This window comes from Homo sapiens, chromosome X, assembly GCF_000001405.40.
Source record: "Homo sapiens chromosome X, GRCh38.p14 Primary Assembly".
Taxonomy (NCBI): domain Eukaryota; kingdom Metazoa; phylum Chordata; class Mammalia; order Primates; family Hominidae; genus Homo; species Homo sapiens.
The window spans coordinates 127,492,096-127,514,360 of record NC_000023.11 but is presented as its reverse complement, the minus strand read 5'-3'; the positions used below and the strand labels follow the sequence as shown (position 1 = coordinate 127,514,360).

Genomic DNA, 22,265 nt, shown 5'->3' with positions numbered 1-22,265 from the left:
AACTTGATGATGTGCAATGGATACTAAAACTGCACCTCCAGAAATAATTTGGATCATACTAATTTAGGAGATAAAAGAAGAACTTATAATTCTGCACAAAGCAGAGCTGGAATTAATCTGCCCACTGATATATGACATGTAAGTAGTCAATATATGCATATATACATAAATATAATATTATATAATATAATTATATATGTATATATTTATACATACATACACAAGCACATGCACGTGCGTGCACACACACACACATATATATAATCAGGAAAGTTTTTTTCTTTGAGACAGGGTCTCACTCTGTCATCCAGGCTGGAGTGCAATAGCGTGGTCTCAGCTAACTGCAACCTCCGATTCGTGGGCTCAAGTTATCCTCCCACCTCAGCCTTTCATGTAGCTGGGACTACAGGCATGTTCCACCATGCCTGGCTAATTTCTCTATTTTTTTCTTTTCTTGTAGAGATAGAGCTTTGCCATTTTGCCCAGGCAAGTCTTGAACTATTAGGCTCAAGTGATCCATCTACCTCAGCCTCCCAAAGAGCTGGGATTACAGGAGTGAGCCACCACGCTCAGCCTTAAATTTATTTTTCAGTCAACTTTCCACTATTTGTTCAACAACAATCATGTAATTCTAGATTTTCAGTTTCTATTGTGAGTTAGAAACAGTGGCCTGAAGTATCTAAGATTTATTTTCAATTGTCTGCAGAGGATAGACAATTGCATAGACTGAAGCACTACTATTTTTTTAGGCTCTTGAATAAGAAAAAGGAGTTTATTTTCATTTTATTTATGAACTTTCTCCTCCAAATCCCTGTCATATTTTCTTACAATAGAGACTAGTGTTTAAATACTGAATCTACAAGCTAAGAACCTTTAACAGTTGACAAAAGTTCTAGTTTTTCTCAAAAGGAAGTGCATTTTCAAGTAAAGAGTATACACATTTAAGAGTGTTTATATTTTGAAATATTTTAAAAGCATTTTATGTTCTATGAAGATGTCTTCCATTTGCTGCTGAGAAATCCTTAAGACTTTTGTCCATGGAACATTTTTAGTATCTTTTCTTTTTATACAGATAATTTCAACATTCACATGACTATTAGCCAGGGTTCTCCAGAGACAGAGCCAATAGGATATATAAATATAGATAGATAGATGGGAGGGGATTTATTAGGGGAATTTGCTCATGTGATTATGGATAATGAGAAATCCCACAATAGGCCATCTACAAACGGGAACTTGGGGAAGCCAATTGCATGGCTCAGTCTATATCTGAAGGTTTCAGAACCAGGGAAGTCAATGTAAAATTTTCGGTTTGAAGCCAAAGGCTCAAAAACCTGGGAGATTATTGGTGCAAGTCCCAGAGTCCAAAAGCTGGAAAAGGTTAAGGTCTAATGTCTATAGGCCAGGGGAGGAAGAGTGTCCCAGCTCCAGAAGAGACAGGATTCTTCTTTCCTTTGCCTTTTTGTTTTATCCACGCCTTCAGCCAATTGTATGGTACCTGCCCACATTGAGTGAGTGTGGATCTTCTTTACTCAGGTTACTGATTCAAATGTCAATCCCTTCTAAAAACATCCTCACAGACATACCTAGAAATATTGTTTTATCAGGCATCTGATTATCCCTTAATCCAGTCAAGTTTACGCTTAAAGTAAACCATCACAAGTCCACCCTTTGTCAACTTGGCACCCATACACATCTCCGTTAACCATATTTAATTTCCAAATAGAGATGATAATAAGGTCATAGCTCCACAAAAGATGATATAACTATCTTGTTTAGAACTTAAAACACATTCATTCTTTTCTCAGAAGAGATAAAGTCCTTCAGTGATGTTTTCTCTTCTTCTGAAATCCCATAAACTAAATACTATGATATAACATTAGTAATAATTAAATACTAATATAAACTCAATACATCTTGTTACATAATAAAAGAATGAGAGAAAACAAATATATTTGCCTAATATATGTATATATGCCCCCAAAAATGTAATCTTAACAAAATAGGAAATACTCATGGGAATTACAGTCCTCCTTTCTGTAACTGGTCATGTGGTCATATTTGCTATTTATAACTACCTTCTTCTACTACCCAGTCTGTATTCCCTTTGCTTACAGCAAGCACCGCATCTGGTTATAATTATGATTCTTTCCCTGGTATGGTGACCCAAGCCTTAATTCCTGAAGGGACTGGGTCATTCATAGTCTTGCCTGAATTAAAATGTTGTAATTTTCCATTGATCTTAATCATATGGCATGATAATATTAAAAGACACCCTCAAGAATCTTGTATTTCAGACACATTCTTCATTATCTCCATTGTGTCGTAGTAGTCCAATTTCTCCTTGGTTCTCTGAATCAATCACTCCAGCCAACACCATAACTCCCTTTTTAGCCTGTTGCCTTGGAGGAATGAGTAGCCCAAAGTGACCAGGTGGCAGTCTTAACTTCCAGTTCAGTGGAATCATTGCTGTATATTTTGGTAGACACATTCTTCTTATAAAACTAAAATCTCTAGGACATCAGAGCATAAAGTTGTGGTAATAGAAAACCAAAACTTTATAGGTCACTACGCATAATGGTGAGTAGTGCCACTCCCGCTTCCATCCCTTGACTCTTGGTTCTGTGAATCCTGGCTATGGGACAAACAGTACCTTATATTGAATGCTGATTCAGAACATATGCAGCCTTCTGGCGTACCTTATCCCAGCCTTGCAAGATATTGCCACCTAGCTGGTACTGTAACTGTATCTTCAGAAAGATGTTCCACAGTTCTATCAAGCCGACTGCTTCAGGATGGTGGGAACCATAGTGACACCAGTAAATTCCATGAGCATGGGCTAATTGCTGTGTGTCTTTGGCTACTAATTGAGTTCTTTTATCAGAAACAATATTGTGTAGAATACCATGATGGTGGATAAGGCATTTTGTGCATACACATATAGTAGTTTTGGCAGAAGCATTGAGTTTAGGTAAGACAAATCCATACCCAAAAATAAGTGTCTGTTCCAGTGAGGACAAAACATTGCCCTTTCCATGATGGAAGCAGTCCAGTGTAGTTAGCCTGCCACTAGCTAGCTGATTACTCCAGAGAATGGTTCCATATTGGGGGCTGGATGTTGGTCTCTACTAGTGGCAGACTGTGCACACGCAGCTGTGGAGAGTTGACCATTTTGTTAATGAGCTCATTTGACAATGATAGGGGTGGCTAGGGAAGGCAGTTGACTTACATTATTCACAGGATGAATTATTCTTTCACTTGATAAGTTTCTCCTCTGCTAAGGTCACCCTTTGGTGAACATTCACATGAGGCATAAATATACTCATATCCTTTGCCCATTCAGAGAGGTCTATTAACATATCTCTTCCCAAAATTTTTTTGTCACCAATTTTCCAGTCATGTCACTTCAATGTCTTTGATACTCAGTCAAATCTATGGTTACAACCCATGAATTGGTATATAATCACATGTATGACCATTTTTTCGAAGCAAAGTTTACAAACAGGTGCATTGTTCTAAGTTATTCCTAATGAAAAGATGTTCCTTTACCATTGTACTTCAGGGAGATCTTAGAAAACAGCTGTGGTGTTATAGCTGTCTACTTTCAGGTGGTGCCTGCATATAGTGCAGAACCATCTGAAAACCAGGCACTAGTCTCTCTTCCTGTGTCTAACGAACATAGGATGCTCTCCATGGGGCCATAGGTGCAGACTGGGAGACAGAAGGCAGAGTAGCAGGAGTAGGAACCATGAATACTTCAGCCACTTCTTTATGTAACTCACAGGTTCCTTCAGGACCTGCTTGGGCCTGGTCATGTGTATACCACTTTCATTTGATGATGGAATGCTTCTGTGCGTATTCAGCTTTATGGCTTGGTGGATCAACTATTGCCCAGTTTATGACGTACATCTCAGGTTGCCTGGTAATTTGGTGGCTCATGGTCAAGCATTAAGTTTCTTCTAAGGCCCAGTAGCATGCCATGAGCTGCCTCTCAAGAGTAGTTATCTGTAGATGGTGGCAGGGACTTGCTCCACAGTTCTAATAGCCTGTGCTGCAATTACCTATAAGGTCCTGTGTAAAGCTCCAAACAGTATCCCCATCCACCACTGACATTTCACATAGCATTGGATCTGCTGGATTATTAGGCTCAATTTGCAGAGCAGCATACACAACATCCTTGTCCTGTTGCAGAGCCTTCTCCTGTTCTAGTCCTCACTCAAGCAATATTTTGGGGTGACTCAGTAAATGGCTCAGAGAACCTGAAGATCTGTTTCCCAAGGGCAGAAGAAGAAGGTTGTTCCAGCTCTGAAAGAGAGAAGCACTTTGCCTTTCCCTGCCTTTTTATTCTATCCAGGCCCTCAACTGATTGGATGGTTTCCACACACATTGTGTGAGAACAGATCTTTCTTACTCGGTCCACTGAGTGAAAATGCCAGTCTTTTCCAGAAACACCCTCAAAGACTCCCCCACAAGTAACACTTTACCAGCTATCTGTCTGTCTCTTATTCCAGCCAAGGTAACACCTAAAATTAACTGTTACAATGTGTAATGAGTCAGTCACATCACTTCTGTCTGATTGTTTATACCTTAGCTCTATGTTTATAAACATGCTATCTGTTTATAGGATTAAAATATAATATATGACAGTAAAGTCAAATGACTTCTCTAAGGGATAATATGTCATTAGGATTGGAGCTAAAATCACATTTTTGATGTCCAAGAACCCTAATGTTGAGTGCTGTTACTTCTATATTATACTGTTTATTTCTCTTTTAATTAATGCACTCCTTTTAACAACTCTACAAAACCCATTTTTAAAATGGCATTTGAAACATGGAGCAACCTCTTTAATGTTAGATCAATTTTGTGTGCCATATGAGACATTCAATTCAACATATGTTTTATGTATTTTGTCTTCAATGTTTTCCACATCATATGAGTGATTGATAAGCACTTTCATGTGCAAAACTTTGCGCTAATCCTCTGTAGAAAGGATGTAAAAGATAAATGACAAGATGTGTGACCTTATGGAACTTGGAACCTAAAAAGAAACTTAACATGCATGCAAATGTTCCTATATAATATAGCATTAAAAGTAAAACCGTTAACATGTGCAAGCTATTATAAACATACCAAAATTTTATACAACTTTTTCATTTAACTAACACTTTTAGGTCTCTACCATGTTTTAGAAACTATGTTAGTGACTGGAGATTAAATAGTAAACAAGTTGAATATGGCACTTTTACCTAAAGAGCTTACAAACAAGGAAAGATCAAACAAAAAAATAATCTTTGGCCGGGCGCGGTGGCTCACGCCTGTAATCCCAGCACTTTGGGAGGCCGAGGCGGGCGGATCACGAGGTCAGGAGATCGAGACCATCCTGGCTAACACGGTGAAACCCCGTCTCTACTAAAAATACAAAAAATTAGCCGGGCGTGGTAGCGGGCGCCTGTAGTCCCAGCTACTCGGGAGGCTGAGGCAGGAGAATGGCGTGAACCCGGGAGGCGGAGCTTGCAGTGAGCCGAGATCGCGCCACTGCACTCCAGCCTGGGCGACAGAGCAAGACTCCGTCTCAAAAAAAAAAAAAAAAAAAAAAAAAAAAATAATCTTTACAAGACAATGTGATGAGAAGGAATGCACGTATTCTGTGAGAGCACTACCATGAACAGCCAACCTCTTCAGGACAGTCAGGGAAAGCTTCCCATAGGAAAAATAGTCTCAATACAATATCTGCCATGAATAGATATTTTTTCCTTAGAAGGGTTAGAAAAAAAGAACAGTACATACAAAGACATGAAGTCAAGAGAGAAGCAGACAGAATATGGCTGCAACATACAGTAGGTGGAAGGAATCTGGGGATACTTTAGAAAGAAAGGAAGTAATGTGAAGTACTTAAGTGCTTAAATATTGGTATCTCATGAACTTGGGATTGAATCCTGAATTCCAATCAAACTAGCAATGTATCAGTAACTAAATTTATTAGTCTTTTTCTAAGCCATGGTTTATTTAATCAGCAAAATCAAGACAATTATACTTACTATATAGGTTCATTGTGAGAATTAAATAATATATTTAAGATTCAAAGGAGCACGCACATAGTAAACAGTCAGTACAAGATAGATATTATTATTTAAGGATTTCTTGTCGTTATTATTGGGAATGTGGCTTACCACATTCCAAAAGAAATTGAGATAATTTTTCTTTTATCTTCATTGGTCACTACTGACAATAGTAAACAGTATCACTGCTGATAAATAGTAAACACTGCCAGTAATAGTAAACAATATCATGTTTAGAGTATACATTAGATTTGCATTTGTCATACTAAGGGTTATTTCCACTGATTTACTGAAAAAATATTAGGTCCTACAGATATTGATTACATTTGAATGCCTATTTCCGAACTGTACTTCTCACCCTTAAAGAGAGTTGATAGTGCATGTGCTGCATATTTCCATGACCTGCCAGTTTTCTAGAATGTTTATATATCCTTCTAAATGACTTTAGTAAGTGTTGGTAAGAAATAAATATTTTCTGGTATGAGTTTTCTTATAGTACTTAACAAGAAAAAAGGGAAATAATTTAACTTTTTGAAATATTTTGAAAAATTACCACTTCCCTTAAAGCTCTACTATCAATAAACTCTTCATCCTGATTGTTTTCTGCATCAATATTAAGAATAAAAATTCTCCTATTGGAGCTTTGTCAAGTGCTGCTTGTAGTCAGTCCTGAGCCTGAGACTTACCAGAAGGCCATGGCTATATAAAAAGAAAGAGAATCCATCCAGTATAGGTTACTAGCAAAATGTGGTCCATTTTCAGTGGGATCATGAGCATGATGATGATAGTGAAGATGATGATGATATAGATTGTAGCTATCAGATATTGAATGCATACTATTTTTAGGCACTATAGGTATCTTTTCTTATTTAGTTCTTTAAAACAAAATTTTAGAGATGAGATCTCACTCTTTTGCCAAGGCTGGAGTGTGCAGTGGCACAATCACAGCTCACTGCACTCAACCTCCTGGGCTTACACAACTCTCCTGCCTCAGCCTCCCGAGTAGCTGGGATTACAGGTGTGAGCCATCATGCCCAGCTTCTTTAATTTTTATTATAACCCTGAAATATAGTTATTATTATATTTATTTTACAGAAAAGTATACTAAGTCTAAAAATAAATAAACTTAATTGCCTAAGGATTTGCTGAAGGAATCCCTGGTCTTCATTATACCACTGAAATTCCTAGGAAACTTTATATCATTATGTCAAAGTCATAGTAGACAGGCTCTGTGTGGAATAGACAAAACACTGTCAAACTAGTAAGGAACATTGCTTTGATGGTAAACAGCAGTACATGTTTGTTTTTCTTTTCCATGTTGACAGTCTGGTGCTTTGAGACCTTCCTTTTACTGAGCTAGTCACAAATAGTTCAAATTCAATCACTGTGTACCAGAAGATTGGGGTGTTGTTTTGATTTTCCTAGAAATTTAGGATTCATAATTTATGAATTTTATGAACTATATTCCCACAGATATCTAAATAATAATACAATCTGCATAACTGCAGGACTGTCATATCTACCTCCTTTAATCCTCAGCACCTAGCATAATGCCCAATACATATAGGCATTGTATAACAAAAGAGATGCACAATGAACTGTAAGAAAATGCCCCACCAGACATTGAGAAAACTGTAAATAGTAGTAACTGACAGTTCTGGGTTCTAGAAAAATAATGTCATTGACATGGGACAAAACTTTCTCATAGAATAAAAACAGGAAAGAATGATATAAATTTTGTGCTTCTCAGAGGGAATGATATTAGGAAATTCTGACATGATGGGATATAGTTTGAGTGTAGGAGAGTAACATTCACTTCACTCAGATCTGTAGGGTAAAATATATCCTTTTTGGTCGTAGTTGAATCTCTAGAGCCTAGTATAGTGTCTATAGTTGTTCAATGGTTATAGGTTGAGTTTATAAAAAGGTATTAAGCCCATATTCAGGGAAGAAACAAAAGGAAAACAATCTGTTCCTCTTGGATCAGCTAAATCATCTATCTCTAAATAGTCTGTCTCTAAACAGAAGAATCAAGAAACTTGCAAGAATCCATGGGCTATGGACTGAATGCTTGTGTCCCCCCAAAATCCATATGTTGAAGGCTTACCTTTCACTATAATAGTATTTGAAGGAAGAGTCTCTAGGAGGTGAATAAGTTGAAATAATGCGATGAGGGTGAAGCCCTCATGATGTCATAAGTGCCCAGGTAAGAGAAAAAAGAGAGCAGTATTCTCCCTCTCCACCATGTGAAGATACAGCAAGACAGCAGCCATTATTAAACCAGAAAGAGAGCCCTCACTTAGAACCTGACCATGCTGGCACCCTGATCTCAGTCTTGCAGACTCCAGAACTGTGAGAAATAAATATAATTTAAGCTACCCAGTCTACGGTGTTCAATTACAGCAGCCAGAACTGACTAAGACATCAATGACAGTTATTATCCATGACTTTGGAAAGAAGGCAGAGGGCATTCATCAGGTTAAGAAACAATAATTCAATGGCAAAGAGAAACATTGCACAGTCTTATAAGACTAAAATCCGATGACCTCAGGAGCCACAGTTTTAAGAGAAAATTGCTACTGACCAGTCCTTATCTTTCCTTCCATCTAAGGAAGTAGCATTAACTTCTAAAAGGAAATGTCAGTGGCATTGGCAATCTCACAAGCTGACATTCTAACCACTATCCTAAGAAATAATATACTCCTCTTGGCACAAATATCAAAATCAAGTAAGAATGGTTTTTTTTTTGGGTATACATGGACATATAGATGGGAACAATAAACACTGGGGTCTACTAGAGTGGGGAGAGGGAGGGGACAAAAAGCTGGAAATCTACCTATGGGGTACTGTGTTCAATACCAGGGTGATGGGTTTAGTCATACTTTAAACCTCAGCAAAAGACAATATTCCTCTGTATCAATCCTGCACATGTACCCTATGATTCTAAAATGAAAGTGGAAAAAGAAAAAAATGGCTATGTTTAAATAATATATTTAAATATCTTTATGTTTAAATAATATATTTAAATATCTTTATGTTTAAATAATATATTTAAATATCTTTATGTTTAAATAATATATTTAAATATCTTTATGTTTAAATATATTTAAATATCTTTATGTTTAAATATATTTAAATATCTTTATGTTTAAATAAAGATAATAGACATGGTAGATAAGAAAATCGATTTTGGAATCAATCTTAGGTCAAATCTCAAATTCCCACTTACTAGCATTTTTCGGCTGTAAAATATAAATAATAAAAGTACTTCCCTCTTCATATAGCTGTGTAAATTAAATGAAATAATAAACACAAGACACTTAACAGAGTGTATGGCACACAAACAATAAATATTCTTTATTTTACTATAGAAAATGACTGTGCACTAACAGGTAGACAGACACGTGCTATTATTTAAGTTAGCTCTGAGCTGCCCCATCAATGTGATCTCCAGGCAGAATCTGTTTATGTGCCACAAGTTAGTAGTTTACAGAGAGCTGTTGTACAGGGAAAACATAATCTCTACCAATGTAAACTCTTAAATTTAAGTATCCTAAAGGGAACCATAGCCCCTACTAATGCTGGGGAGTCAGCTAGACTGCTTATGTTCTTACATTGTGTAGAGTGGGTAAGAATCCAAAGAAGAGGAATGCGGGTTTATAAACTGGCACACAGATTAATATCCTGATGCTCCAGCATACTTACCAATAATTAGAAAAGGAGCCAATAGTGAGCCATAGGCCTACTCTGTCCCACATTTTTATGAGTCACCTGTAAGAAAATTTAGATGATGAATTGTTCAAGTCAGCCAAACAGCCACACAAAAAATAGCACAGTGTTTAACAGCATGCATTTGGTGTTACTCAGGTGTGAGTTTAGCTGTCTTTAATCTTGAAAAACATTTCTTAATGGAGGATGAAAATTATGGCGCTGTCCATTATTAGCTGTGTGACACAGGCAGGCAACTTAACCTCATTTATAAAGTGGAGATAATCAGAGCAGTCACTTAATAGGTTTGTTGAGAAGATTACGTAAGACTCCATGTGAAGGCACTTGTTCTTATTCTTGGCATATATTTAATATTCAATAAAAGTTACACACACACACACACATGCACACACACAAATCTAGCTTCATGATTGGAATAAACGGATCAAAATAAATTAATGTCCACAGCCCTAATCATTTTTTCCTTGGGGAGGGGGAGGCATGAAATAGAACCAAGAAAGAAGAAACAAAGAAAAAGGGGTATACACTTGAAAATACTGTGAAAAAAAGAGTGGATGGCCCTCAGCTGCAGGGAGAGAATACAAAACTAATAAAAGTACCCAAATGTTATATCCTGTTCAATTCAGGAAGCCATCTCCGCCTTGCTTGATTCACCTGCTCCCTGCTCATCTCATCATACAGAACAGCTAGCAGATAGTCCATGATGACCTCCAAAAGTTATTAATTCATGAAGCCATGTGGGGAAATTGAAATGCAGCAAGGCTCTAAATATGATTCTTTAAAAAACTGGCTGTTGAAATGGTTTAATATTCATGCCTTTGTATCCTGCTAAGACTTGTGTTGAACTCTGAATAATGAAAATTTAGTAAGTCCAGATGTGTTTACAGATAATAATGAAAAAAGACTCAATTGGTTAACTTTATAAAGAAAGGAAAAATATCTAGAAATGACTATTATTTTCTATATCTACACAACATTTCAAATTCTCACTTCAATACTCTTTATATAACCACATGGCAATATAAGCAAAACCACCCAATCCAAAAGATGTCAGCACTTAACTCTACATTCAGTTTCTAGCAAAACACAAAGTCAACATTTCTATAACTGACTAAATCGATTTTATTTCGACTACAAGGCATAGTTATCAAATGAGACCATCAGTAACACTGTTTTAATTTTCTTTTTTTTTTATTCCTACAACAGCAGTCATAGAATGTGGGAAAAGACATTCATATGAAAGTTGGGGAAGGGTACAAGTAAGGACAAAAAATAAATGGCTTCCAATAATTTCCTTGAAGAATTTTGCTTCATCTCTCAATTTCCCTCAATGTTAAAGTAAGGTTCATGAAATATATAGTCAATTAAGTTTTGTGTATGTATTAAGCACATATTGCCATGTGCTTCAATGCGTCCAGTTCTGCTGAAGCTATCCATCTTTTGAGAGAAAAATATAAATACGAACAGATAGTTGATCAAGTGTGAAAATGTTTAGCACAGCTTTATGTATTCTATGAAAAATTAAAGATGAGGAGATAATTATGATATAAAAATGAAAGAAGTTTTAATGAAGAAGATGTTAAATTGGATTTGGGGGAAAAGGTATAGACTTTGAATTAAAAAGTAGAAATAGGGCTATTTCAGGTAATTAGGACAGCATGAGCAAAGATACAGATGAAAAACACATTACTGTTTAATTTAAAAGCTCTAAGATAAATTTCATACTAAAAGTAACTGAAGATAAACCTAGATAGTTAAGGTGACACTGCCTGTGCATTCACTCACAAATTTACACTTCTTCAAAATTCCTTTATTTAATAATGCAACAAATATTTATTGTTTAAAAGATATAATATGGTGTTTAGAGCTCCACAAACAATATTAGGGTGCTGAAGATTACTACCGTAACCATGTTGAATCATAGAAATCTGCCTCACCTGTTGCCACTGGAACCGATGTCTCAGAGATTGTTAACCAATTGTGAAGTCTGTTTTTTTTTTTTCAGGTTTTATTTGAACTCTGCAGCATTTGACAATATTGCCTTTGTTATTCTTTCGGTAACTCTCATCTTCCTTGCTTCTTGGTGAAATACACTTCATTTTTTTTCATCTATTGTTGGTGGTAGTCTCCCAATGATTCAGGTATCAACTATCTTCTCTTACTTCACTACGCACATTCCCTAAGTCATCCCATCTGTTCCCCACTATGCTGTAAGCTACTTAAAGGCAGAGATATCATTAGATTTGCTATATCCACAGAATCAGTGACAGGCAGAGATCAAGGATTGATTAAATATTTGTTGAATATTTTAATAAAAGAGCTTCAAGTAACGTCTGTACTCCTCCCTTCAAAATATGTACAGTTGACCCTCGAACAATGCAGAGGTTAAGGGCACGGACACATTTCAGAGTTGAAAATCCATGAAAAACTTATGACTTCCCAAAAATGTAACTGCTGATAGCCTACTATTGACTGGAGGACTTACCAATAACATAAACAATTAACACATATTTTGTATATGTATTATATATTGTATTATTATACTAAATTAATCTAGAGAAAAGAAAATGTTATTAAGAAAATCATAGGGAAGATAAAATATATTTACTATTCATTAAGTGGAAATGTATCATCATATAGGTCTTCATCCACGTGGTCTTCATGTTGAGGAGGCTGAGGAGGAAGAGAAAGAAAAGGGGTTGGTCTTACTGTCTCAATTGTCACAGAGGCAGAAGAAAATCTACATAGGAGTAGACACACATAATTCAAACTTGTGGTGTTCAAGGGTCAACTGCATTTCCAATCTTCTTTATTGAACTCAAGGCCTATGAGCTAAATTGTCTAATGTAATTCATTAAACTAATATTGAGTGTTTATAGAGGAAAAGCACGCTCTAGTCTATAGTGATACAATGGTGAATAAAGGAGATAAATGAGCTTCTTCATTAAATTTACATATTATGTATATGACGCTCCTTAAAAATAAAGGGATACAAATGCTAAGACTTAAATTTTGTTTCTGATTTGAAATTACTTGGAGAGATATGAACTACTGTGAAGACATGTGTCTTAAACTACCTCAGATTCCTCCTCAGTAAAATGGTGAACATAATGGTACCTGATTTGTTTGGTGTTTTAAGGAGTAAATGAAATAATATAAGCAATGTAATTAGACATAATAAGGACTCAATGATTATTAGTAATTGCTGCATTTGATGGTTAATTTTATGTTTCAAATTTATTTGGACACAAAGTGCCACTGTATTTGGTAAAATATTATTCTGAGAGTGTTTGTGAGGTGTTTCTAGATTAGATTAACATTTGAATTGGTAATCTGAGAAAAATTGTTTTTCCTTTCTAATTTGGGTGGGCCTCATCCAATTCATTGAAGGTCTGTATATAACAAAGGCTTGGTGAGAAGGGATTCTCTCTTTGTGAGTGATTTGACCTGAGACATCAGTCTTCTCCCACCTTCAGACTTAGACTCATTCTAGAACTTATGTAATTGGTTTTCCTTGTTCTCAGGACTTTGGACTTGGACTGGGACTATACCATCGGCTCTCTTGGCTCTCCAGCTTGCTGACGCAGATCCGGGGGCTTCTCAGCCTCCCCAGTTGGATGAACCAATTCTTTATAATAATTTCTTTATAATAATTTTTTATCTATCTATCTATCTATCATCTACCTACCAATCATCTATCTATATCTATCTGTCTGTCTGTCTATCTATCTATCTATCTATCTATCTGTCTCTCTCCATTTCTCTGGAGAAACCATACTAATACACTGGAAATTATTATTATTTTTTTACCTTTTCAATGGGTAAAATGAAACAATTGATCACAATACATTTTTATAATTTTTATTTATTCTATGTTGTATACCTTCCGGCTTCTATTTTCTCTCTGGCACAAATCTTTAATTAACTGAAAAAACATTCACTTACATTCCAGACACTGTCCTGTGTGCTTGGATATTTGTAAACCAGTAAGATATCTTTCCTGCTCTGAAGAAAAGTGGATTCCAGTAGAGGGTAGAAATAGATAAACTATAAATATATAATTTATTCAGATTTTCCTCAACACTATATTAGAAACATCTTTTAATCAATCATTTGATGTTGGTTGAGCATCTCAATGTGCCAGGCATTGTTCTTGATAGAATACAAACAGACAAAATCAGATTAACATCTGCTCTTATACAGCTTATGTTATAATTAAAAAGCTACTGAAATGTACCATATAGTGATGAAGAATAATAAATCCAGGAAATAATAGATCATATTTCTATTATTTAGCTTTGAAACCAAAGCACACTTTTGATCTGCATATTCCACACAGGTTGTTCCATTCTCATTCCCAAATAATATTTCACATTTTCAAGACTGCTGCTCCAAAAGCATGACATTTAGTCTCTCTCATAAGCCTGCAATGATTTCTTGGGATTAAACTTTATCACATGGATAAATGAACAGATTAGATAGACAGATGAATAAACAGATCATAGAGAGGTAGGTAAATATATAGATAGAATGCAAACATTAATTGCTATGACAATGGAATGGCTGTCTAATTATCTCATTAGTACTTACCCTGGGTTTCAGAGTCTCAGATATAAGTAATATTTAATGGAAGATTTTTTTTAAATGAGCTACTTGTCTTTTTTCAAGCTATGTCATATTTCATAGATAGTGAGATTGGCCACTAATTATTTGCTTGAACCTTCCTCCATTAGCCTTAAAAGTACTGGAAATTCTTCATTAATTATGGCAACTGGTTGTCAGACATTTTTTATGATTTTGTTATATATATATGTATATGTATATATTCTCAGATATTTCAGTGGAAAATTGAAAATGACTTTCACTTGTATACGAATTTTCTTCTGTCTCTTCACACCACGTAGTCTTCTTCATTATTGGAATATATCTTCTTACACAAATAAAGAAATGTACATTTCACCTAGCTAAGTTGTAGTATAATGTCTCTTCATTTGACAGTCTTTTGAGAATGTTACTTAAGAAGGGCAAAGTGAGTAAAGTTGTCATATATACATGGATTGTAAAAAGTCACTTTATTTTCATTTTATGTGTTTTAGAAATTTTCCTTTTGTGGGAATAAGTGAAAGAAAATAACCTGAATTGGATGCAGAAGGGCTTTTGAAGAAAGAAGTTATCTTAAAATGAAGAGTGAAGGATAAAACAATGAAGCTTTTGTAAGGAATAATACTTGCCTACTAATAGCTACCTCATGTAATGACTACTCTGGGGCATAATAAGAGCTAACTTCCTTGAACATTTTGGATTAATTGCAGCAGATAAGAACAAAGTGTGATGAATATGTACTACTTAAGCTTTGCATGAAAATGTCTTTTCTTTTTAATAAAAAAGAAACATAATTCTTGGTTATAATTAACAACTTACAGTTGTTAGGTGTGATTATTTCTATCCTTTTTCTTCTGTAGAGATATTCAGTCTTTTTTCAAATATAACAAGTAGGATTTAAGTTGCACCAGTGATATTGAGCATGTTTCCATATACCCGTTGGGCATGTTCATTTCCTTTTGAGAAATGTCAATTCATGACATTTTCCCCCTTTTAAATGGGATTCTTCATTTTCTAATTGTTGAGTTGTTTGAGTTCCTTGTATATGCTAGATATTAGTCTGTTGGTGGATGAATAGTTTGCAAATATTTTCTCCTATTCAACAGGTTGTCTCTTCACTGTGTTGATTGTTCCCTTTGTGGTGCAGAAGCTTTTCAGTTTAATATAGCTTTATTTGTTTGTTTTTATTTTTGTGTCTGTGCTTTTGAGGTCTTAGCCAAAAGGTAAAATCTTTACCTAAATCAATGACCTGAAGTGTTTTCCCTATGTTTTAATCTAGTAGTTTTACAGTGTGGGGTGTAATGTTTAAGTCTTTAATCCATCTTAAATTGACTTTTGTATGACATGAGAGGTAGTGATTCAGTTTTACTCTTCTTCATATGGATATCTAATTTACCCAGCACCATTTATTGAAGAGGGCACCCTTTTGCATATTCTTGATGCTTCTGTGAAAAATCAGTTTGCTATGAGTATATGCATTTATTTCAGGGTTTTCTATTATGTAACATTGTTATAGGTGTCTGTTTTTATACCAATACCATGCCTTGGTTGGATGGTTGGTGGTTTGGTATAGCCTTGTAATATATTTTGAAGTCAAGTAGTGTGATCACTGCAGCTTTTTAATTTTGGGGGATTTTTTTTTTTTTTTTTTGGTCAGAACTGCTTTGGCTATTTGAATTCTTTGTTGTTGTTGTTGTTCCATGCAAATTTTATAATTGTTGTTTCTGATTCTGTGAATAATGATGTTGGTATTTTGATAAGGATTGCATTGAATCTGTAGATGACTTTGGGAAGTATGGTCATTTTAACCATATTAATTCTTGCAATCCATAAGCATGAGATGTCTTTCCATTATTTTGTGTTCTCTTCAGTTACTTTTATCAGTGTTTTGTAGTTTTCCTTGTAGACATTTTTCACCACCTTGGTTCAATTTATTCCTCATTATTTTTTTTTGTTGCTATTGTAAATGAAATTGCCTTCTTGACTTCTCTCTCAGATAGTTCGTTGTTGGTATATAGAGAAGCTACTTTTTTATATTGATTTTGTGTTTTGCAAGTTTATTAATTCTGAGAGTTTTTTTGATGGAGATTTAGGTTGTTCTACATATAGGATCGTATCACCAACAAATGACAATTTGACTTTCTCTTTTCTAAATTTATATGTCTTTTATTTATTTCTCTTGCCTGATTGCTCTGACTAGGACTTCCAGTACCATGTTGAGTGGGAGTCGTTAAAGTGGGCATCCTAGTTTTGTTCCAGTTTTTAGAAAAAAAGCCTTTTAGTTTTTCTCCATTCAGTATGATATTAGTTGTGAGTTTGTCATATATGGCCATTATTATGTTGAGATATGTTCTTTGTATGCCTAGTTTGTTGAACAATTTTAGCATGAAGGGATATTGAATTTTATCAAATGCTTTTTTGGCACCAATTGAGATGACCATATGGATTTTGTTCTTTATTCTGTTGATGTAATCTATCACATTTATTAATTTGGGTATATTGAACCATACTTGCATTCCTCAGACAAATCTGACTTGATCATAGTTTATTATTTTCTTGATATGCTGCTGAAATTTTTTTGTTAGCATTCTGTTGAGAATTTTTGCATCTATGGTCATTGTTGATATTGGTCTGTAGTTTTCTTTTTTGTTGTTGTACCCTTGTCTCGTTTTGGTATCAGGATAATGCTGGCCTTGTAGAGTGAGTTAGGGAGAATTTCTCCTCAATGTTTTTTTATTTTTGTTTTTTTTCCTTTCTTTCTTTTTTTTCTGGAATAGTTTGAGGAGAATTGGTATTATCAATCTGGGCCTGGAATTTTTCTTTGTTGGGAGACTTATAACTGATTCAATCTTATTACTTATTATTGGCCTGTTCAGCTTTCTGTTTTATTTTTCTTGATTCAATCTTGGCAAGCTGTATGTTTCTAAGAATTTATTCCTTTCCTCTAGGTTTTCCAGTTTGGTAGTATATCTTTGCTCATAATACTCTCTGATGATATTTTGTATTTCTGTGTTAGCACTTGTAATTCCATTTTCATTTCTGATTTCGTTTATTTGGATCTTTTTTTTCTTGGTTAATGTAGCACGTGCTTTATCAAATTTATAAAACAACTGTTTTCTTTTTGCAATCCTTTTCTTCAGTTTTTATTTCTTTAGCTATATACTGGTCTTTATTTTTTATTTCCGCCTATTAATTTGGGGTCTGACTTGTTGTTTCTCTAGTTACTTGAGGTGCATTATTATATTGTTTATTTGAAATCTTTCCACTTTTTTATGTAGGTGTTTATTGTTATAAACTTCTCTCTTAACACTGCTTTCGCTCTATCCTGCATCCTGTATTTTGCAAAATGCTGCCATGTGGCATTTTGATTTTCATTTGTTTTAAGAAACTTTTTGATCTCCTCCTTAATATCTTCCTTGACTCAGTGGTCATTCAGGAGCATGTTTCCTAATGTCTATCTCATTGTACAGTTTCCAAACCTCCTCTTGGTATTGATTTCTAGTTTTATTTCATGGGATCTGAGCATATACTTGATATGATTTTGATTTTTAAAAAAATGTGTTTATACTTGTTTTGTTGCCTAATATGGTTTATTCTGGTGAATGTTCTGTGTGCTGATGAGAAGACTGTATCCTGTAGCTATTGGATGAAATGCTTTGCAAATGTCTGTTAGGTCTATTTGTTCTCATGTGAAATTTAAATTTAATGTTTGTTTGTTAATTTTCCATCTAGATGATCCAACACTAATATTGGGGTGTTGAAATTCCCAAGAATTATTGAATAGGAGTCTGTCTCTTCCTCTAAATCTAATAATATTTGCTTTATATATCTGGATACATAGTTGGTGGGTGTATAAAGGTTTGGAATTGTTATATCTTCTTGTTCAATTATGCCCTTCATCTTCATATAATAACTGTCTTTGTCTCTTTTTTTAACTGTTTTTGAGTTGAAATCTGTTTTATCTGATATAAATACAATTGCAGTGGTGGCAGTTTTGGGCTAAGCATACCTGTCTTTGGATCTCATGGAAGCATGTGTTGGCACTGGTGTCAGCAGGTCCTGGCTGGCCAATTCTCGGGTCTTTAGGTGGCTTGCTTAGATGCCAGTAGTGGCAGTGGCAGGCTGGGCAGTTGGGCAGATTCTCAGGGCCAGTGTGGTGGGGATGATGGGAATAGCATGGCAGGATGACCTTTTGTGTCCTGAGTAGCACGTGCTTGCTTGGCACTTTCTGTCGTGGGATGGGTGGGCCAGTCTCTAGGCCCACAGGTGGTGCATGCAGAGAAGTGCCAGCTGTGGTGGTAGCAGCTGGGTAGTAAACACAATCATGGACATCTTGGAGGGATGTGCAGGTACCAACAGCGGTAGACTGAGCTGGGAATTTCCAAGGCCCATAGACTGCACAGGTTTGGGGGAGACAAAGTCGGGCTGGACAAATTTATACATAGGCCCCCAATAGTGTGCAGATACCTGCCATGTAGGCAGAGGCAGAGCAATTCCCAGAGCTCCATTAGAACGCTTGAGTGAGATCTGCAGCAGCCATGCTGTAGCCCTTCAACTGGTGAGGGTGGGGCCACCTTCAGTGGTAGCAGCCTATACCAGTGGATGGAGAACACTTGCCCTGTTTGCCTCTCAAGTCAGGCAGTGGCACCCCTCACCACGCTCATGCCTCAGCCTCTGTAGCAGTTCATGTTTTGTTTACGTTTCAGCCCCAGCACTACCGCACCCTAGGACAACCTGCAGTTTCTCTAGAGCTGGGCTATAAAATGGCAGGATACTTTAGCTGCTTAGCACTTGTTCGGCGTCTGGTACCCAGCACAAGCTACCTCCCTGTTTAAATGCCATCAGGCTGTGTGACCAGGCAACTCCCTATGTTTAGTTTCAGGACCCAGAAGGGTCAAAGTGCTTTACTATGGCTAGGAATGTAGGAGTCCATGGTGGGAATGCTGACGACTGGAGATCTTTAACTTACTGTTTCCTCAAATTGGTGTTTCCTAGCTCCCAGCTGAACCTGAACAAGTAGGCTGCTTTGTTTTCCTTTTCTTTCTGTCTGTAGGTGTTTTCTGTGACATTTCTTTTAAATTCCAGTGTTCTCTCTTGGGTGATCTATTCAAAGTATGACTACTCACTATTTCAATTCTTCTTAATGGAGGAGGGGTAGGTAGCATGATGAGTTTTGACAATTGTATACAATCATACGGTCACTACAGTTGTGAAAATCTATCACTCCAAAAATAATTATGAGCTTCTGTTACAGTAAGTTCTCTGAAAAAAAAAAATTTGAACATCCCTCAAGCTTGGCAACCACTAAAATGCTTTCTCTACTTATGATTTTGTCTTTCCTGGAATATTATATAAATGAAATCATGCAGTATGCAGCCTTTTAAGTTGGCTTCTTTTATTTATCCTAATTCCTTTGAGATTCATCCATGTTATTGTGAGTATTAGTATTTCATCTTTTTTAGTTGCTGAATAGGATTTTTTTTTTTTGAGATGGAGTCTTTCTCTGTCCCCCAGGCTGGAGTGCAATGGTGAGATCTCAGCTCACTGCAACCTCCTCCTCCTGGGTTCAAGTGATTCTCCTGCCTCAGCCTCCTGAGGAGCTGGGATTATAGGCACGCACCACCATGTTTGGCTAATTTTTGTATTTTTATTAGAGACAGGGTTTCACCATGTTGGCCAGGCTGGTCTCAAACTCCTGACTTCAGGTGATCCACCTGCCTTGGCCTCCCAACGTGCTGGAATTACAGGCATGAGCCATGGTGCCTCGCCTCTGAAAAGCATTCTATTGTATGACTGTAGCATAATATATTGTTATATGTGCCAGTGAATGTGCTTTGGGGTTGTTCCAGTTTTTGACAATTATCAATAAGACTCCTAGAAACATTTTTGTACAATTTTCGCATAAAGATATACGTTTTCATTTTAATTAATGTATAACTAGGAGTAGGATTGCTGGGTCATATGGTATATGTATGATTTATTTTGAAAGAGATCACCAAAATATTTATAAAATTGTCCTTCACTTTTGTATTTCCATCAGAAATATATGAGATTTCCAGTGTTCTGTATCTTCACCTATACTTTACACTTCCAGTAATTTTTAACTTTATTTATTCTAGCCAATATTTAGTGATACTGTAGTTTTAATTTGCATTTTTCCCAGTGGCTAGTGATGTTAGACATCTTTATCTGTGCTTACTTAACATCTGAATATGTTCTTTGATGAACTGTCTGTTCAAATCTCTTGCTCATTTTTTTGTTGTGTTGTTTTCTATTTACTTGTAAGAACTCTTTGCATATCCTAGATACAAATCTTTTCTCAGATATGTGAATTGCAAATATTTTCCCTAGCCTGTGACCTCTTTTTTCATTTTTTAAATTTGTTTTGAAGAGATAGGGTCTCACTCTGTCACTCTGGCTAGAAGGCAGTGGCACAATCATAGGTTACCGCAGCCTCAAATTCCTGGGCTCAAGTGATCTTCCAGCCTCAGCCTCCTATGACTTTTTTATTTTCTAAACAGTATATTTCAAAGAGCAGAATTTTTTAATATTGGCGATATCCAATTTATCATTTATACTTTTGTGATTTAAATAATCTTTATTATATCTATGAAATTTTTGTGTAAACCTTGTGCACGAAGATATTCTCCTATGTCTTCTGCAGTTCTTCTTCAGTAAAATAGTCAATAAAGCCCAGTGTTTTCTGGCTGTCTGCCTGCAACACTATTACTATCAATGAGCCTATCAAACACTCAGAACTTTTTAATAACTAATGATGTATCTGAAGTTCTAGAATTTATTGGCTCGTTTTTCATTATTTTTTGTTTTCAGCCAATATAAAATCAGTATTAAATATTACATTTCATATTCATTAAATCATATTTAATAAATTTGTACACTGCATTAATTAGTTATATAACATTTAAGTAGAACTAATAGACACAAAAGTCTTATGAGAAGAGAGGCAATCATGCTGTCTCTTCTACTCTACAAGGTTCTGGCCAAATCTGAGACAGGAGGGCAGAGCAAGATGGCAGAATAGAAGCCTATGTCATGTGTGCCCTCTGCAGGAATACCACATTTTAACAACTATCTGCACACAGAAAAGCACCGTGATAAGAATCAAACATCAGGTGAATAATCACGGTACCTGGTTTTAAATTCATCACTGAAAGAGGTATTGGAGTGGGCCATAGAAGCAGTCTTGGATCACTGACACCACCTCTCTTCCATCCCCAGCCAAAGGCCCTATGATGTGGGAAGTGTTGCGAGAAGTCAGGGACCCTGAACGGAGGGACCTGCTGGAGCCGTGGCAGAGGAACATAAGTTGTGAAGATTTCATTTTAATATGGACATTTTCCAGTTCCTAAATAATACTTTTATAATTTCTTATGCCTGTCTTTAATCTCTTAATCCTGTTATCTTTGTAAGCTGAGGATGTACATCACCTCAGGACCACTGTGATAATTGTGTTAACTATACAAATTATTGTAAAACATATGTGTTTGGACAATATGAAATCAGTGCACCTTGAAAAAGGAAAGAATAACAGTGATTTTTAGGGAACAAGGGAAGGCAACCATAAGGTCTGACTGCCTGCGGGGTCCGGCAAAAAGAGCCATATTTTTCTTCTTGCAGAGAGCCTATAAACAGATGTGCAAGTAGGAGAGATATCGCTAAATTCTTTTCCTAGGAAGAAATATTAATATTAATACCCTGGGAAAGGAATGCATTCCTGGGGGGAGGTCTATAAATGGCCACTCTGGGAGCGTCTGTCTTATGTGGTTGAGATAAGGACTGAGATACGCCCTGGTCTCCTGCAGTACCCTCAGGTTTACTAGGGTAGAGAAAAACTCTGCCCTGGTAAATTTG

At 35.9% G+C, this 22,265-nt stretch overlaps 1 long non-coding RNA gene across 1 annotated transcript; it reads left to right on the top strand.

Moving 5' to 3' along the window:
• Nucleotides 1–14,672: 14,672 nt before the first annotated feature.
• Nucleotides 14,673–21,720, top strand: LOC105373332 (uncharacterized). Its single transcript, XR_938577.2, has 3 exons — nucleotides 14,673–15,004; nucleotides 21,388–21,526; nucleotides 21,633–21,720. It is a non-coding gene; the product is annotated as an uncharacterized LOC105373332 (long non-coding RNA).
• The last annotated feature ends 545 nt before the right edge of the window (nucleotides 21,721–22,265 follow it).